We start from the raw sequence: 17200 nt of genomic DNA, 5'->3' as shown, positions 1-17200 counted from the left end.
CCACTTATTGCTTTTTACTTTTCAAAGTGTGTCTAACTGAAAGTTTAAAAGTATATCCATGGCTCATATTTGTGCCTTGCATTATATTCTTATTAGATGGTACTGCTTTAGACCCTAGGCAATTACAGCAGGAATTGGAAAACTATGATGGATGGGCCACATCTAGTCCTGCCACCTGCTTTTTGAAATAAAGTTTTATTGGAACACAACCAGGCACATTTGTTTATATTCCTATGGCTGCTTTCCCGTTACAATGGCACAGTTGAATAGCTGTGATAGAAACAATATGGTCCACAAGCCTAAAAGATTTACTACTTGGCCGTTTGCAGAAAAGTTAGTTGACCTCTTTTCTAGAGGGTTGATATTGTATTTTGTTTTTCATTGTGTCTTCAAATCATGTCACAGAACCTGACACCTAATAAGCACCCAGTAAATATTTGCAATATTGGCTGACTGAGTACATTTCTAATTGATATATGATTATTGAGTAATTATAAATTGAGAAGGATATTGCCAAGATCATCACTAAAATTAGTTTATGACCCACAGCTATGGTGACCATGGGATCGAAATTAAAAATTGAAGTACAACCTGTCAAGTAGGTCTATACTTAGATAATCTTCCTACGCAACATTTAAAATGGAGACCATCCAAGCCAGAATGGGTGGTTCTCATTCTCATCACCATGGAATATCTTGATTTTGGAATAAAGAAAGATATTTTAATTGTGCCTGAAACAGGATAGAGTGTTGTATGAATTAGGAAACTTATCTTGTAGGTTGGATATTTGGAGTAAGGGTTTATGTCATAACAAACTCCACCGTCCCTCATGGTAGTAAATCCCATGGAAGTCTGGATCTGGTTGGTGTACATGAGAATGAATTCTTATATGTTAAAAATGGGGCTGAGAATGAGTGTTGGAATAGAATTAAGCACATCTTCACATTTTGATCCAAATATACTCCTGTCATTTGCTCTCTGCTCACAAATCTGCAGCTGTTAGAAGACATGAAATAATTTTCTTTTGCTTTTCTCTGTCAAATTGTTGATGAACATGATTTCACATAATTGAAACAGCCAGAGTTACCATAGATGAGAATTGAATATCAGGTCTTGGTTATGCAACATTATCTTTTCTCATAAGAAGCAGTCATTTTAAAAAATATATAACATTTCTCAGTGTTGCATTGGATCTTTTCTTTTTTTAGTAATTAAAGTTGTAGAAGCAGCTAGACGTGCTTATTTCAACAGGTAGATTCCACAGGGCTTTTCTGAAGAAACCATGCGAGGCAGAGTGTTTTCCTTTATTGAAGTCAATCTGGGAAGCAAACAAGAAAAGGAAAAAAGTAATATTCATATGTGATCAATATAGAAAGAGAACAATTAAGTATCTGGTGATTTTGCTTTAGGCTGGTTCAAAGAAACGAAGGATTATAAAGTTGATAAGATCACAGAGTGAGCGATCACCAACCCATCCACCGTCTATCCATTTCCCGACAGTTACTTATTAAATTTGTTAAATTACATTTATTAAATTACTATTTGTCCAGCTCTGTGGTAGATGTTGTGAAAGACACAAGGGAAACAAAAGATAATCTTTACTCTTGAAGATTCACATAACGTTAAAACTGAAGGTAGTTTAAAAAATGATGTTATTGTAATTCTATGTTCTCTTTTCAAGACAAAGACACAGTTGTTAGGTACTTTGCTTAAGGTAATATTTAAAAATTTATGTGGTGGGCCACAGGGCTCTAATTCCTAGTCCAATAAGTTTTCTACTATATTTATTGGGTAAGTCAGATATGTTTGTCTGCCTAAAAAGTTGGAAAATAAGTAATCCCAAGTTATTATGTAAGCAAGTGTGGGATCATCCTGCATGCCTGATCTGTGGGACATCCAAGAATATTCGCCATTGAGCAAGAGAATTCAAGGAAGGTTTAAGGGCAGAGGTGAGCCTGGAGCTGTACTTTAAGGAAATACAGAGCGTGAGGTCGTATATGCTGGAAAGAAGACATTTTAGTTGTGGCAAACAAAATAAATAAATGCAGGGCAACAGAACTAAGCAGACATTAGAGATACAGAAAAAAAGATACAATCAGGTTAAAAAAAGATCAACAAAAATAGTGAAGATGGCCCTGAGTTGCACAGAGAGCCTCTGTGGAAGAGGTGGAGGAACTAGGTTGGGTCAGTGAGGTGAGAGCAGTTGATGTAAGAAAGCTGAATGCCTGCTGGAAAATTTTTTCTCTGAGTAAGAGACGAAGTGTAAGCCAAGCTTTTGGAAGATTTATACATTGCACTCCCACTCTAGAGAAAGACAAAACATTCCTCAAGGACCCAGAAAGAAACTCAAAAGAAACGAAAATCATTCTGGCAAATTAAATAGGGCAGTAAGTCTATCAGATTTCCTTTTCCATCTCTATATTGCACACCACTTCACGGTGTTTGACTAAAATTTACAAGTTTGGTAGGAAAAATCTAAGTGGGAATATTTGGAGAAAACCCACAGAGAACTAATAATATTAAGGATATACACACACTTACTTTCAGAGATAGCCAATTTCAATTGCCCTGGGGTTTGGATTTTTTTAAGGTTTTGATATATAGCTTAAATTATTGCTTATGTAGGATGAAGTACATGCTTAAATGCTATGTTGTCACTGTAATATCTACAAATCACTCAGCACACCATCACTGACAGTAAATATTTTATATCTTATTGAAAAATAATAATATCCTTATAAAATATCAAAATCATAATCCTTTTAGGCTCTTCCCCAAATCCTCCCTTGAGAGGCTTAAAAAAAATCATCCTTAACACTTCGTCATACAAACTTACAGTGAAATTTCAGTGAATAGTTGTTTTGAGTTTGAATTTTAAGTTCCTTGAATTTGGGGTATGAAATTCTGTTCTCCACATCACCATTGCTGTGCATGTGGAATTAGTGTGAAAAAAGAATCTATAGACATCTACTTTCATTTATTTTGTTTTTTCTTATAATGTAAGTAGGAAACTTACATCTACATAAACGGTGCCAAATTACAGCTGTTTCTCTAACTCCATTTTTCTGCAAAAGATTACTGGTTTCTGCGACCAGGCTCTTTCAACTGCACAACAGTTGCTGCCTTTATTTGCATAATTAACTTGCCTGTTGGTGGAGGGAGATGATGTGAGCAGAGGCGAGCACAGGCACTCACTGTTTGTTGCAACTGACATAGTGAAGCTGCAAGGTGTAAGCAGGGTTGTGATTCATCCCCTATCTCCTGCAGCTTGGCTTGAGTAACTGACTGCCTTAACACCTCTTTAAGCATTCTTCCTTGTTCTTTTTCAAGGACCTGATAGTCTATTGAGAAAAGGAGATGCAAACAACGTGTATAATGGAAGAAATGCTACAAGGTAGACAATAGTCATGCAGGATTTGCCCCTTTTCCCAAGTTGATAGAGAAGGTTGACTGCTCATTGTAGTTTGTGTTGTGCACTCTTCTGAGAATAAACAAACATCTTTTGGTTGGCCTGTGGTTGTGGGGTTACTACCACTCTTGTCATCTTCAAATATAGGTAAGACATTCTGGACAGATGATGTTATGGCTAACAAGAGAGACAATTTTTACATGCTCATAAGCAACGTGGCCAACAGTGTGGGAACGTGGGCACTCACTTTTTTGGTAGTAGGGTGTATTAGAGGACATCAGCAGACTCTGAAAACAACTTGGAAATATGCTCTGTGAAGGCTTTGTACATCTTATTCATTACTATCCCTAATGCCTAGAAGAAAACCTGAATAAATGAATAAATGTCAAAATCTTTAAAATTTTGCATATGCTTTGATGCACAAATCCTAAGAACTGGAAGTCATCATGAATCTACTGTTAAAATTTAGCTGTCGGAATACACATTATATTATTATTTATAATACTAAATGCTTGAAATATCTCATTTAGTTTTATCAATGTGGGATTGAGTAAAAATTATATAACATCTCTATTATGGATTATTAGGCAGCCATGAATGCTGACATTGCATAAAAATATATAAAGGATACAGAAAGATACATGTGACTATTTTTATGAGTAGGCTGTAAAACAGTGCACAGAGTATTAATCCATTGTTGTAAAATGATAAAATAAAAAATTTTTCAAAGGTTGTCAAAGAAGGAACTTTACCAGAGACTCAGGCACAGTCTCAAAGAACAAAAACTCTGAAATTTTAGTGACTTAAAACAACAATACATGTGCTATATGGCTATTGTGAATCAGCAGGGAAGCTTTGCTCATCAGTCACTCAGGATGCCAGGCTGAAGATAGCATTGAAATAAATGGTGTTCACAATGTCATATAGAAAGGAGCCCTGGAAGGTTTCACACTGGGAATTCATGGCTCTAACCTGGAAGTAAAATGTTGCTTCTATTCAAACTCATTGGTCAGATCCAGACACATGTCCCATCCATGCAAAAGAGAGCAAGACATTATAATCCTCTATGTAATTGAGTATGAGAGAATTAGAAATATTTTGTGAGCAGTACTAAGGATACCACTTATGGTCATCAGTATTCAGCTCACTCAGTGTGTCCCTATGGAAACAACCCCAAAGTCTTATCCCATCTTACAGAATAAACGTATCCAGTTTTATGGCATAAAACTCTTATGTCTATAGTTTCTGGGTGGTAACCAAGTGGTCTCTTTATCAGGTCTGGGTGTGGCTCCTTTTGGTTATAAAATCAACTGAAAAAAAACAAAAACAAAAAAGATTATCTCTTTCCCCTGACACTTAGTACAAAATAGCAGAATGGGGCAAGGTGTCTATAATATTGCCAAGGCTGGTTTGTATAAATTCTGATATTTTACTGCCAGTCCCCATTCCCTGGGATGAGGAAAGCTCTTAATTATGTTCTGATTTGACGCCTGGGAAGGGGTTCTCCAGTCCATGGCCCTTAATTTTGTTCTTTGGAGGTTCTTCCTTTTCTATTGTTGCCTTGGCTATGTCTGCAGAGTGTGTTATAGAATGTACACTCCTTCAAGGATGAGAAGCTTTCTTAGTCTGATACTTGCTCTAAGAAGTTCACGTACTTAACCATGTTAATGTTTTTGTCTTTACACAAAAGTTTTAGAAGGTTCATTATTTCTTTGGCTGTACAAGTTTCTCAAAAAAGTAATCAGCTTCTTTTTATAGTTGATTATGGTCAATTTCTTGTGCCAACAGCCCCATACACAACTTTTTTGATACATGCTTCTCTGTGTTTTCTCTGAACTGTAGATATCTTAAGTCAGCTAAGCTTCAGTAGAAGAGCCGCAGCTTCAGTCTTAAAAAAAAATTGAGTCATTCTGTCCATATGAAATACTAACTGGGTTGTTATGTTAACCCATTCAAAGGTTAAAAACTTGTGTGGAAACCATATCCTTGATTTATTCCTTGATGCAAGACTGTGTTCTTATCAGTCTGTCTCTAATTAGTGATAAGAAACAATTGCCTTGTCCAATTCTCCAAGTCTTCAAATTTTCTTGACCATCTCTGTTATCTTTCATACTTGCTTGCTTGTTAATTCGTTTTTAGCTCATTGTTTTATAGTAGTATTTTGTCAAATGAAGCCAACAGTGATTGACACTTGCTAGAAGTTCTATTTTTCAATCATTTTGCCTATAGCTATAAGTTCACAGAGGACATTACCTTCCTTTTAAGTTTTCACAGGTGACAATTTTACAAAATAGCTCATTTGTGCATAACATAGATTGCTGTCATTCCAGCTGCAACTGAAGATTCGTTGCTGCCTGCCACCTGATCACTGAGCCAATGCCACAGACTTTGTTTTTGATGTATTACTCCAATTTTTTTTTTTAAAAAGATGCTTTAAAAAATTGACCAGAATAAGAGAAATCTAGTTTTCAGTTTTGTAGACCCCTGAAACTTGATTGTTATTAAATGATTTTGTCCCAGGCAACTGGAATACACATTCAAACTTCTAAGAGATTACAGAAAAAAGTGCTGATTTGTTTATTTAAAATTGAAAGTCCACCTAAATGACTAGAATATCTGTACTTTCTAACTTAGAACATATTCCGTGGGTCAATGGATTCCAGAAACCAGTGTTTTAATCTGAATGTTTCTTCTTTTTGTTTTCTTTTTATTTTTGGAGATAGAGTCTTGCTCTGTAACCTAGGCTGGAGTGCAGTGGTACAATAATGGGTGACTGAGACTGGAACTCCTGGGTTAAAGCAACTCTTCAGACTCAGCCTCCCAAGTAGCTAGGATTACAGGCACACACCACCATGCCTAGCTAATTTTCTAATTTTTGTAAAGATGGGGTCTCACCAAGTTGCCCAGGCTGGTCTTGAATTCCTGGCCTGAAGCAATCCTCTTACCTTGGCCTCCCAAAGTGCTGGGATTTCAGATGTGAGTCACTGAACCCAGCCTGACTCCTTCTTGATGACTTTTAATGAATTCTTTGATCATGAGTGGATACTATTGTGGGATAATTCACTTAATCTTTGAAGAATCTTGATCTCCCTTTCGGTACCATAGAGCTCAGCTTTCATTGACCAGGAGACTTTTTTTTTTTTTTGAGCAAAACAGAGTTTTGCTCTGACGCCCAGGCTGGAGGGCAGTGGCAGGATCTCGGCTCACTGCAACCTCTGCCTCCCAGGTTTAAGCGATTCTCCTGCCTCAGCCTCCTGAGAAGCTGGGACTACAGATGCATGCCACCACGCCCAGCTAATTTTTTGTATTTTTAGTAGAGATGGGGTTTCACTGTGTTAGCCAGGATAGTCTTGAACTCCTGACCTCGTGATCTGCCCACCTCAGCCTCCCAAAGTACAAGACTTTCTTTTGGATAGGGTTGTCTTTCTGCATCTCATTTTCTAGGGGGGCAGAGAAAGATGACAAATGATGAACATGAAGAAATGCTTTTTGGGCCGGGTGCAGTGGTTTATACCTGTAATCCCAGGACTTGGGGAAGCCGAGGCAGGCGGATTACTTGAGGCCAGGAGTTTGAGGCCAGTGTAGGCAACATGGCGGAACCCAGTCTCTAGTAAAAATACAAAAATTAGCCGGGCATGATGGCGCATACCTGTTCAGCTACTAGGAAAGCTGAGGCATGGGAATCACTTGAACCTGAGAGGTGGAGGTTGCAGTGAGCTGAGATTGCGCCACTGCACTCCATCCTGGATGACAGAGCAAGACTGTCTCAATTAAAAATCAAAAACAACAACAGTTTTCATATAATGTGTTTTTACAATAATAAAACTGGGTAATGGTATATAGTGAAAATTGGAGGAGAGAATGGAAGAAAATGTTTTTGCTGGAATGGCCAGTAAAACCATTCTAAGGTGGGGACATTTGAGCTGAGACTCACAGGGGGGGAAGAGGCAATCATAGAAGATCTGAGGAAAGAGCAGTCTATGCAGAAGGAACGGCTGGTGAAAAAGGCCAGAGACGTGAAGGAGCTCAGTGTATTGGAAGGATAGAAAGAAGGCCAGGGAGTTGGGAGAATGGTAAGGAGAGAAGTATGTGGTCATGTCTGAGAGGCTGGCAAGGAGTGCATTGTGTACAGTTTTGCTGGTCATGTTGGGAAGTTTCTGTTTTACTCGAAACCCAGTGGAACCATTGAAAGCTTTTAAGCAATGGATCAATTTGATCTGTTTTACTCTTTAAAAAGATCACTCTGGCTGGCTACTGCATGGAGAATGAATTCTGGCAGGGGAAGAGTGGAAGCAGCCCATTGCAGCCCAGCTGTGAGAAATTAGTCATTTCGATTGGGGTTGTAGCAATAGAGATGGTGATAAGTGGTGGGATCTTGAATGTATTTTGGAAATAAGAGTAGACAAGATTTGCAGATAGATTAGATGACAGATGTGAAGAACAGTGAGAAAATAAGGGTTATTGCTAGTGTTTTGGCCCAAGAAACTTGATCGGTGGTGATACCAGCAACTGAGAGATGGGGAAGATGGCTGTGGGTAAATCAAGAATTTTATTTTGGAAATACTAAATTAGAGATGTCTATTAGACAGCTCAGAGGTGATGTCAAGTAGGCAGTTGGGTATATAAATCTAGAGCCCAGGGGAGTGGTAAGAGCTGGAGATAGAGATTTATGAGTCATCGGTACAAAAATGTTATTTTAAGCCATAGAAGAGGATGAGATCACCTAGAGAAGGAATTTGGAGAGAAAAGAGGGTGGAGGACAGAGTTAAGGGTTAGCAGAGGCGGAGGAACCAGAAATGGAGTCCAAGAAGGCACAAGTTTCAGGTTAGAAGAAAATCAGGTGTGAGTAGTGTTGTGAACGCCGAATGGAGATATTTTTGCAAGAAGAAAAGCCATATGCTGAAAACTGACTAATGCTCTATCCCATTTCTGCTTTATATTTCTCCCAAACACCCACAATACCATGCCCCTCTCCTTAGCATTTGATTCTACTGGAAAGGAGGTTAATTACAGAACAATAATTGTTTCTATTTTTTTTTCTTTTTCAGTCTGCTATTTTAGGAAGTGGATAAAATGGCATTTTGACAGATCTGGAGGGTCTTGGATCTACCTTTCAACATTGGCATTACTGATATTAGAGTACCACCACTCACTAGCTGTGGAGATGTAGGAAGATTACTTAACCACTCAGAGCCTTGGTTTCCTCATTTGTTATGTGAAGATGACAATATCAGATGACAGGTTTGTTGTGGGGATTCATTAATGTAATGCATACAAAGTGGTAGCTCAGTGTCTGGCAGAAGGTAAGTAGATCACAAATGGTAGCTTTTATTATTTTTTTCCCAGATGATGATTGGCTAACTATGGAAATGGATCACTATCAAGCAATCCTAGAAAATGAGTAGGCAAGATTTGCAGATAGATTGGATGACAGATGTGAAGAAAAGTGAGAAAATAAGGGTTATTCCTAGTGTTTTGGCCCTAAACATAGTTAATTGTTTAGACCTATGTTGGAGAGATAATATCTACATATTATTGCTGCAGAATAGAAGTTAAATACTCAATCTATAAACAAAACCCTGCTATTGCCCCTGTGCCCTCTAGCAAACACCCTATATCTTGTCTCTTTCAGAGACAGGATGTGTGAAACTCAGATCAGTGATGTTTTAAAGATGGAGCATCAGTGATAGAAACATACTTCTGTGTTTCTCTGGTGAAGAATGATCCAGGCCTGTCTTTGAAACTGAAGTTTCAGGCTGCCAGTGAGCAGATATAGTGAAGATAGAAATCCTTGCACAGCTGAAATGGGTCATGACCGCTGTAAAAATAAGCAGGAATTTCCCCACCTTGGGGCAGCACACAAGCCTATCTTTCCCTCTGAAGCACAAGAGAGTGGGTCAGGGATATAACTGAGCAAGTATCTCAGATTCATTTTCCAGGAAATGAAGCCGTTAGCCCTAGCTGCTCTGTGAGGGTCCTTTGTTAAACATGACGAGTCCTCTGAAAACATTACAATTCTGCTATGGTGCCTCTGTGCCAGCCACTTCTTTATCTGTGGAGGGAGTTGGGTGGCTGTGGCTGCTCTGGAGTAGGGTAGGGGGTCATTGATGATGGAAATATATCAATCCCCTTCCTTCAAACTAACACCTCCATCTCTTCAAAGGCATCCATAAGGGTTTGGAAATTATACCCGTATAACACACATACCTATTTTTCAGTTTAAATGCAACCTTTAATTTAATTTTCCCTCGAGGAGAGTTATCACTTTGGCCTAATTATCGAAAAAAAAGTAGCAGATTGCATTATTGAATCCCGAATCTTGACTGCATTATTTATGATCTCTGTGAAATTGGTAAAGTTGGTTTATCTCTCTAATCCTCAGTTTCCTCATCTATAAAATGGAACTAATAACTGTTGCATAGCATACTGTATAGACTAATACATTAATTCATACAAAGGACTACTTAGCACTAACAACTTAGTACTTATTAGCTCCTTAATAAATATTTGTATTAGGGTTCTCTAGAGGGACAGAACTAATGGAATATATATATATGTTTAAGTTTTATATATATATGAGTTTATTAAGTTTTACATATATATATATATATATATATATATATATATATGAGTTTATTAAGTATTAACTCATATGACCACAAGCCCCACTATAGGCTATCTGCAGGCTGAGGAGCAAGGAGAGCCAGCCCGAGTACCAAAACTGAAGAACTTGGAGTCTGGTCTTCAAGGGCAGGAAGAATCCAGCACGGGAGAAAGATGTAGGCTAGGAGGCTAGGCCAGTCTCTCGTTTCACATTTTTCTGCCAGCTTTTTATTCTAGATTCTATGGCAGGTGATTAGGTGGTGCCTACCATTAAGGGTGGGTCTGCCTTTCCCAGCCCACTTACTCAAATTTTAATCTCCTTTGACAACAGTCTCACAGACACACCCAGGATCAATACTTTGTATCCTTCAATCCAATCAAGTTGACAGTCAGTATTAACCATCACAATATTGTTGGATTGTTTGAGCTGAGGAGTTCGAGGTTGCAGCAAGCCATGGTTGTCCCACTGCATTCTAGCCTGGGAAACAGAACAAGATCCTGAATCTAAAATAAACAAACAAACAATAAGTAAATAAATAAATAAAAGTTGAAATTTTTATCTGTTATGCAAGAACACAAAGAAGCTCATTTTTAGGAGGCGTTTTCATATTGTTTTCACCAGTGTTATTTTATAGATCTTTGGTGGTTTTAAAACTTTATTCCATCCTCTCTGATGCTTTAAAAAAAGAAATACCATGTTTGGAAGATCTAGCAATCTAGCTGTATGATATAATAGAGGATAATGACACCTCCTCTAGTTTTATATTTATGAGAACATCTAACACATCAAACAAAGTGTCAACACAGAGCTGGAGTCATTTAACTGAGTATGTTTATCTTTAGGGTGTTTTCGGCTCTGTGTAATAGGAAACAGTGACAGAAACTGGCTTGAATAATAAGAAATTGTATCGCAGAATGCTCAAAGTCCGGAGGTAGGATTGCTCGGCCGTATTCCAAAGTGCCCATTGTTTCCACATCTACGCCATCCCTTCCTCAGAGGCTTGTCCTTGCCTTTAGTCTTCTCCCTCTAGTTGCAAAATGAATATTAGAGCCCCAGGCATCATGTTCAGACATGATTCTAGAGAAAGAAGAAGGGCCATGTTTTCCTTAGGTCTCTTTCTTATAGGAGGCTACTGATGACCAGAAGAAATTGCTGGCATTTGTCAACCTTCTGAACAATTCCTACAATTTTCATTCATAGGGCAGCTTCTTTAGGATGTAAATGGTCTCAAGGCTTCAGCACACAATCGTTTAACAACATGTCAGCCCAGCACACTGAGGTCCTCTCTCCCCTTTGTCCCTACTTTTTCCATATAGGTAATTAGACATTTCAAAATGTGTTACTTGCAGAACTTCATCCCTGCTTCCATTTTTTTAAAATCAATTTTAGTTATCTGTCACAAGAAACAGAAAACAACTCTGGCTGATTTAAACAAGATATACATTTATTTCAAATGTACTAAACTAGTTCCAGAATGATTTTGAATTTTCTTTTGCTAGACAAGACATTATTGGGACAATTGGCAAATTCAGAATAAGGTCTGCAGATCAGATCATAGTGTTGTATGTAATCTGATTTTGAAAAGTAGGCTGTGATTATGTAAGATAATTATTTTTTAGTAAAAACACAATGCCATTTTAGGGAAAAAGCATCATGTCTACAATTTACTATTAAACAGTTTAGAAAAACTACACAGAGAGAAAGGGGGTGAGAGAGGAGAGGGAGAAGGAGGGGGAGAGGGAAGAAAGAGGAGGACGAGGAGGAGGTCAATGTAGAAAAATATTAATATTAGAAATCTGGCCAAAGCGATATCCAGGAATTCTTTGAATTAGTCTTGCAACTTTTGTATAAGTTTAACTTATGTCCAAATTTAAAAAAATGTTTAGTGATACAAGAAGATGAAAAGTAAGATTGCAGTGAGGCAAAAACTTGCTTTAATACACCTTTAATACACCTCTAAAGACAATGAGGAGGATACTTAGTGAACAGCTTAAGAGCAGACTAGATTGCAAGAGATCCTGGCTGAAAGATTTCAGAACAGGAAACCATGGTCCAATTCACACCCCAGAGCTGAACCCCGTGGACAATACTGCCACCACTATGGTGTGCCACACATTGCAGCTTACCCTGCTGCTGTAGCTGGCACTCCACACTTTATACCACCACCAGCACAGCTGCTCTGGATGATTCATCTTTTTATAACCACCACCCATGCCATAGACTTATCTCTAGTACCTCTGCTTTTTAGATTCACATTAAATTAAAGGTCCAGGTGCAGAAATCAGATTGATAGAGCCCAAGTTGTGGGGCTATCTCTAGGTGCAAGGGAAGGCTAGTAAAATGAGTATCAGACATTTTCAGTCTCCACAGGGACACACAAATTGTGCTTTGCCCACAAAGGGAGGGATTCTCCAAGGAGGAATGGGTTTCAGCTATTATGCAAGAATGACACATGAATGGCAAGAATGACACAAGAATGACAAATGTTCGTTACAGAATAGTGTTTGCAGTTCTCTCCCTTAGGATGTCATAATACTCTGGGCCTTGCTCTGTTGAAGGTAGAAGTGAAGGAAAATGCATTTCCCTCAATCTGAGAGGAATAAAGTATTTAGAGATGTTGGATCTTACTCTTACATATACTCATAGTGGGGTTAATATGGAAGAAATTATTCCTGATGAGGTTTAACCACTTCTGACATTACATGAAAAATGGGAACGCTTTGTTTTCAATTGGATTAATTTTATTCAGAATATCCCTTATTCTGGACATTGATATCTTGTTTTGTTTTCTCCCACACTTTTAAAGGTTTTTTCCTCTTGTATTTATTTTTGTAAAAACCATTATTCTATATGAGGTTGACATTTTTTGTTTCAAAAGATTTTCAACTCGTATTTTTCAGAAAGAAAACCTGGCCCTCAGCTCTGGTACAGTACCTAGTGCATAGCAGGGACTCACAAACTTTTGTTTTTTATTCAAATCTTATTTTGTTATATAATGTAAATACAATTATATAACATTGAGGTCCTACTCTGGCCCAGAAGTATAAATGCTGTTTGTGGTTAACATTAAGAATACTTTTTTTTTTTTTTGCCCTTGGTATCTCATTGAAAAAGGAAGGCTCATACTTCAGCAAGGAAAAAGCATCTGTGTCATAATTCTTAAGAACATAGTATTTTATTTTTATTAATGTTTGCCATAAAAATGATTGGAGGAAAAAAGCGAGATATGAAAAATTGTATTCTAAAAGTATTTGACATCTGGTTGGAATTGTTATATTACTTGATTGTCAAAAGTTTCTTCTGAGAGGTTGAGGGAATTTTAACATTTCATTTGACAGTGAGATCTGAGATGAATTTAACTGCCTTCAGTAGTGCTGGCCTGCTCCTGAGAGAGAGATGATTGAGAGGGAGGAAGTAGAGAGGAGGAAGAAGCCTTTACTCACACTCCTTGAGGAGTGATTCAGGTGGACAGCCTGAATTACGGGATTTATTGGCAGCAAGTAAGTATTGTCTGAGTGGATTACTGCAAAATGCTTTAGCTGGGGATGGCTTTGAAAACCACTCATCAATTACAGATGGTACCCAGTATAGCAGCAGGAGTACCCTTGCGGGCTTTTGTTATCTCCGACCTCTTCCTTCATGGGTGACCGTTCTAACCCAAAGACCTCAACTGTTCATCAAAAACCTGCCACTCAGAACTGCATATCAATTATTAAACAATGTCCCATGCAGGACAGTGACTTTAAATTATCTTGGAAATGATAAAGACCAACATTTGTCTTTGTTAACATGCTGAGTGATTCTGTGGTCTCTAGTCACAGGTGAAAGGATCAGATTTGAGATTTCTAGACACCAGAATCACATTAGGGTTAAGCAAAACTCCATCTTTTCCCAGAGAAAATTTAGCCAGAAATGTTGCTTATTTGAGATGAGAAGTAAGATGAAGTGTTCTAACATGGCGGAGCTTGATATGCAAATGAGCCCATCTAGGGACAGTAGGGATTGGTAATGTGGGTCTGTGGATGCCTGGAAGGCTCACAGAAAGACTTCAGGAATTCCTGAGTCTCTTCAAAGTGTAAGCAAAATTTTGTGTGTATTTTCTTATTTGCATGATATGGCTTGGCTGTGTCCCCACCCAAACCTTATCTCGAATTGTAACTCCCACAATTCCCACATGTCGTGGAAGGATCCTGGTGGGATTCATTATGGGGGCAGGTCTTTCCAGTGCTGTTCTCATGATAGTGAATGAGTCTCACAATATCTGATGGTTTTAAAAACAGGAGTTTCTTTGCACAAGCTCTCTTTCTACCGCTGCCTCCATGTAAGATGTGACTTGCTCCTCCTTGCCTTCCACCATGATTGTGAGGCCTCCCCATCCACGTGGAACTGCGAGGCCAATTGAACTCCTTTCTTTTGTAAATTGTCCAGTCTCAGGTATGTCTTTATCAGCAGTGTGAAAATGGGCTAATACAGTGCATTTATTTTTTTGAAGCATGTCCATACTTTCCATTGGATTCTCAAAGGGATTCAGGACCTGGAAACTTTTTGAAATACTGCTCCATAGTAAATGGCACAAATCTCTCTGAATCAAGGATGTCTCTAGCCTTAGGCAAAGCTAGGTTGAAGGACAGAACAGAGAGTCAGCCTCTGGAGTGCCCTCTATAAGGAAAAAGAAAACATTACTAGAGTAAGTTGATAAAGTATAAATTCATCTCACTCCTACTGGACACTGCCCTTGAGTGAAATTAAAAACTGAAAAATTTTTGACATATCTTTTGAGCATTTTTGTAAAATACGCATGTAGCTATGGCCAAAATTCTGGAATAAAATGGTACATATAGCCTTAGGTATCCTGGCTCTGTTTCTTAAAGGAGTCATATTTACAGAATTGCAGTTGTCCAGGTGCAGTGGCTCACGCCTGTAATCCAAACAATTTGGGAGGCCCAAGCAGGTGGATCACTTGAAGTCAGGAGTTTGAGACCAGCCTGGTCAACATGGTGAAACCCCATCTCTAGTAAAAATACAAAAAAAAAATTAGCCGGGCATGGTGGCGGGCACCAGTAATCCCAGCTACTGGGGAGGCTGAGGCAGGACAATTGCTTGAACCTGGGAGGCAGAGGTTGGGAGGTTGCAGTGACCCTAGATAGCACCATTGCACTCCAGCCTGGATGACAGAGCGAGATTCCATCTCAAAAAAAAAGAAAGAAAGAAAGAAAGAATTACAGTTGATTAGCCACAAATAATTTCTAAAATGTTTTTGCTCACATCTCTCATAAAAATAAAAGAATATCCATGTCCTGTCTTATTTCTTATAGCTGCCAGTACACCCCCCAGTTTCCTCTTATAACTGTTTCATCCAGAATCCTTCACATGGTTACCCTTCACTTTCTCTATTCCAGTCCAGGTTGCTTATTTTCTTTTCTCTGGCCTTCTCCCTGTTGCTTTGCTCTTCATCGTGTAGATTGATTTAGTTGTTTTGGCTCAGTCCTTCCTTCTGTCTTCTGTTTCTGGATCTACCCCTCTCTTCTTATTTTCCTGAGGCTGCATCACAATATTCTAGTGACAAAGACCGCCTTTAAGAAGCAGAAGAGGTGAAGAAACCAGGGAAACAGGAAACACACAATCCTAAATCTTGTTTTGGGGCTGAGTGTGGTGGTTTATGTCTGTAATCCCAACATTTTGGGAGGCGGAGGCGGGTGGATCACCTGAGGTCAGGAGTTCGAGACCAGCCTGGCCAACATGGTCAAATCCCGTCTCTTCTAAAAATACAAAAATTAGCCGGTGTGATGTACATGCCTGTAGTCCCAGGTACTGCAGTGGCTGAGGGAGGAGAATCGCTTGAACCTGAAAGGCGGAGGTTGCAGTGAGCCAAGATGGCACCACTGCACTCCAGCCTGGCGACAGGGCAAGATTCCATCTCAAAAAAAAAAGTGATTTATTTTATTTCTTAATTTTTAAACATATAATATGCCTTCTAGGTAGTTTTGTGATTTGGAAAACCACAAAAGAAAACTGAAATGTTTGATGCCTTCCACAATTTTTTAGAAAAAGAATTCTGCTTCAAATAGTGAAATACATTTGTAAGTGAATCAGACTCTGGGTAGTTTTCATTAATATAAAGTCAGTTTCCTCCCAGCTCCACTCACAGATGGTAGGCTCATATGAATCTTTCTACAGGCATCAGATAGTATGCTAGATGATGGTGAAATGGAGATGGAAAGGCTCATCCCAGCTCTCAAGAACTGACTGTCTATTGAACAAAGAGGTAAACAGATGATTACAGTATGTGAAGATAAATGCACCACGGTGGGTATGTGTATTGGGCAATGGGAACTCATAGAAGTGTTAAATCAAGTTTAGCCTAAAGCTGCCTCCATATATATTTAAGTTCAGTCTAATGGTTTTACTGTACTTCGTGACCTATAACAAGTGGAGGTGTAAACAGACCGTAGCCTACACTTGTGCCAGTCACGCAGTTTTGGCCAATCAAATGTAGCCAACTGTTTGAACCGTGTTCAAATAAGGCAAGTGCTGAGCTGTTACCAATCCAGCTGTTTCTGTACCTCATTTCTGTTTTCTGTATGTCACCTTCCTTTTTCTGTCCATATATCTTCTTCCACCACGTGGCTGTGCTGAAGTCTCTGAGCCTATTCTGGCTCAGAAGGCTGCCCAATTTGCAAATCGTTTATTGCTCAATTAAACTCCTTTAAATTTAATTCAGCTGAAGTTTTTCTTTTATACGAAGGAAGCATCCATATTTGCCTACAGGAGATGAGCCTTAAGCTAACTCAGAAAATGAATAAGCCTTAGGCAAAGGTGAGAGCACAAGTCACACAGAGGTCACACAGTGCACAAAAAAATAGGCATGAGACAGTATGAGAAGGTATGAAACATGGAGATGAGGGGGTGGGAATCAAAACAAAATGTGACTGGCTAGGTAGTTTGAGTTTACACAGTAAGGGATCTTTGTTTTCCCATGAGGTATTCTGAAACTTTGAATCACTCTTCTATTGCTACTACTGCAGTGGTTCTCAGTGTGTCATGGTGACTAACTGGGTAGGCTCAGAGGTCAGACTGCCTGAGTTCAAACCTTTCTCTTCTTGCTACTAGAGTGCCATTGCACAGTTTGTTTACCTGGCTTCTCCCTTCATCAATTTCTTCTATAAAATGGGGATAGGCTGCCCTTT

The 17200-nt window shown here is 38.7% G+C and overlaps 1 long non-coding RNA gene across 4 annotated transcripts in view; it reads left to right on the top strand.

Annotated features, from left to right (window-relative positions):
* Window positions 1-16729, top strand: part of LOC105375721 (uncharacterized) — a 121243-nt gene extending 104514 nt beyond the window's left edge. For 3 of the 4 annotated variants that reach the window (XR_001746050.1, XR_001746049.1, XR_001746046.1), the window contains exons 8-9: window positions 8458-8650; window positions 13352-14288. This is a non-coding gene — a long non-coding RNA (uncharacterized LOC105375721). Of the gene's footprint in view, window positions 1-8457; window positions 8651-13351 lie in introns of all 4 variants that reach the window. The other variant, XR_007061069.1, reaches the window with a different exon arrangement.
* Window positions 16730-17200: the final 471 nt, after the last annotated feature.

The sequence above is a fragment of the Homo sapiens genome, chromosome 8, assembly GCF_000001405.40.
Source record: "Homo sapiens chromosome 8, GRCh38.p14 Primary Assembly".
NCBI lineage: Eukaryota > Metazoa > Chordata > Mammalia > Primates > Hominidae > Homo > Homo sapiens.
The sequence above is the reverse complement of the archived record's forward strand: the minus strand, read 5'-3'. Positions and strand labels throughout refer to the sequence as shown.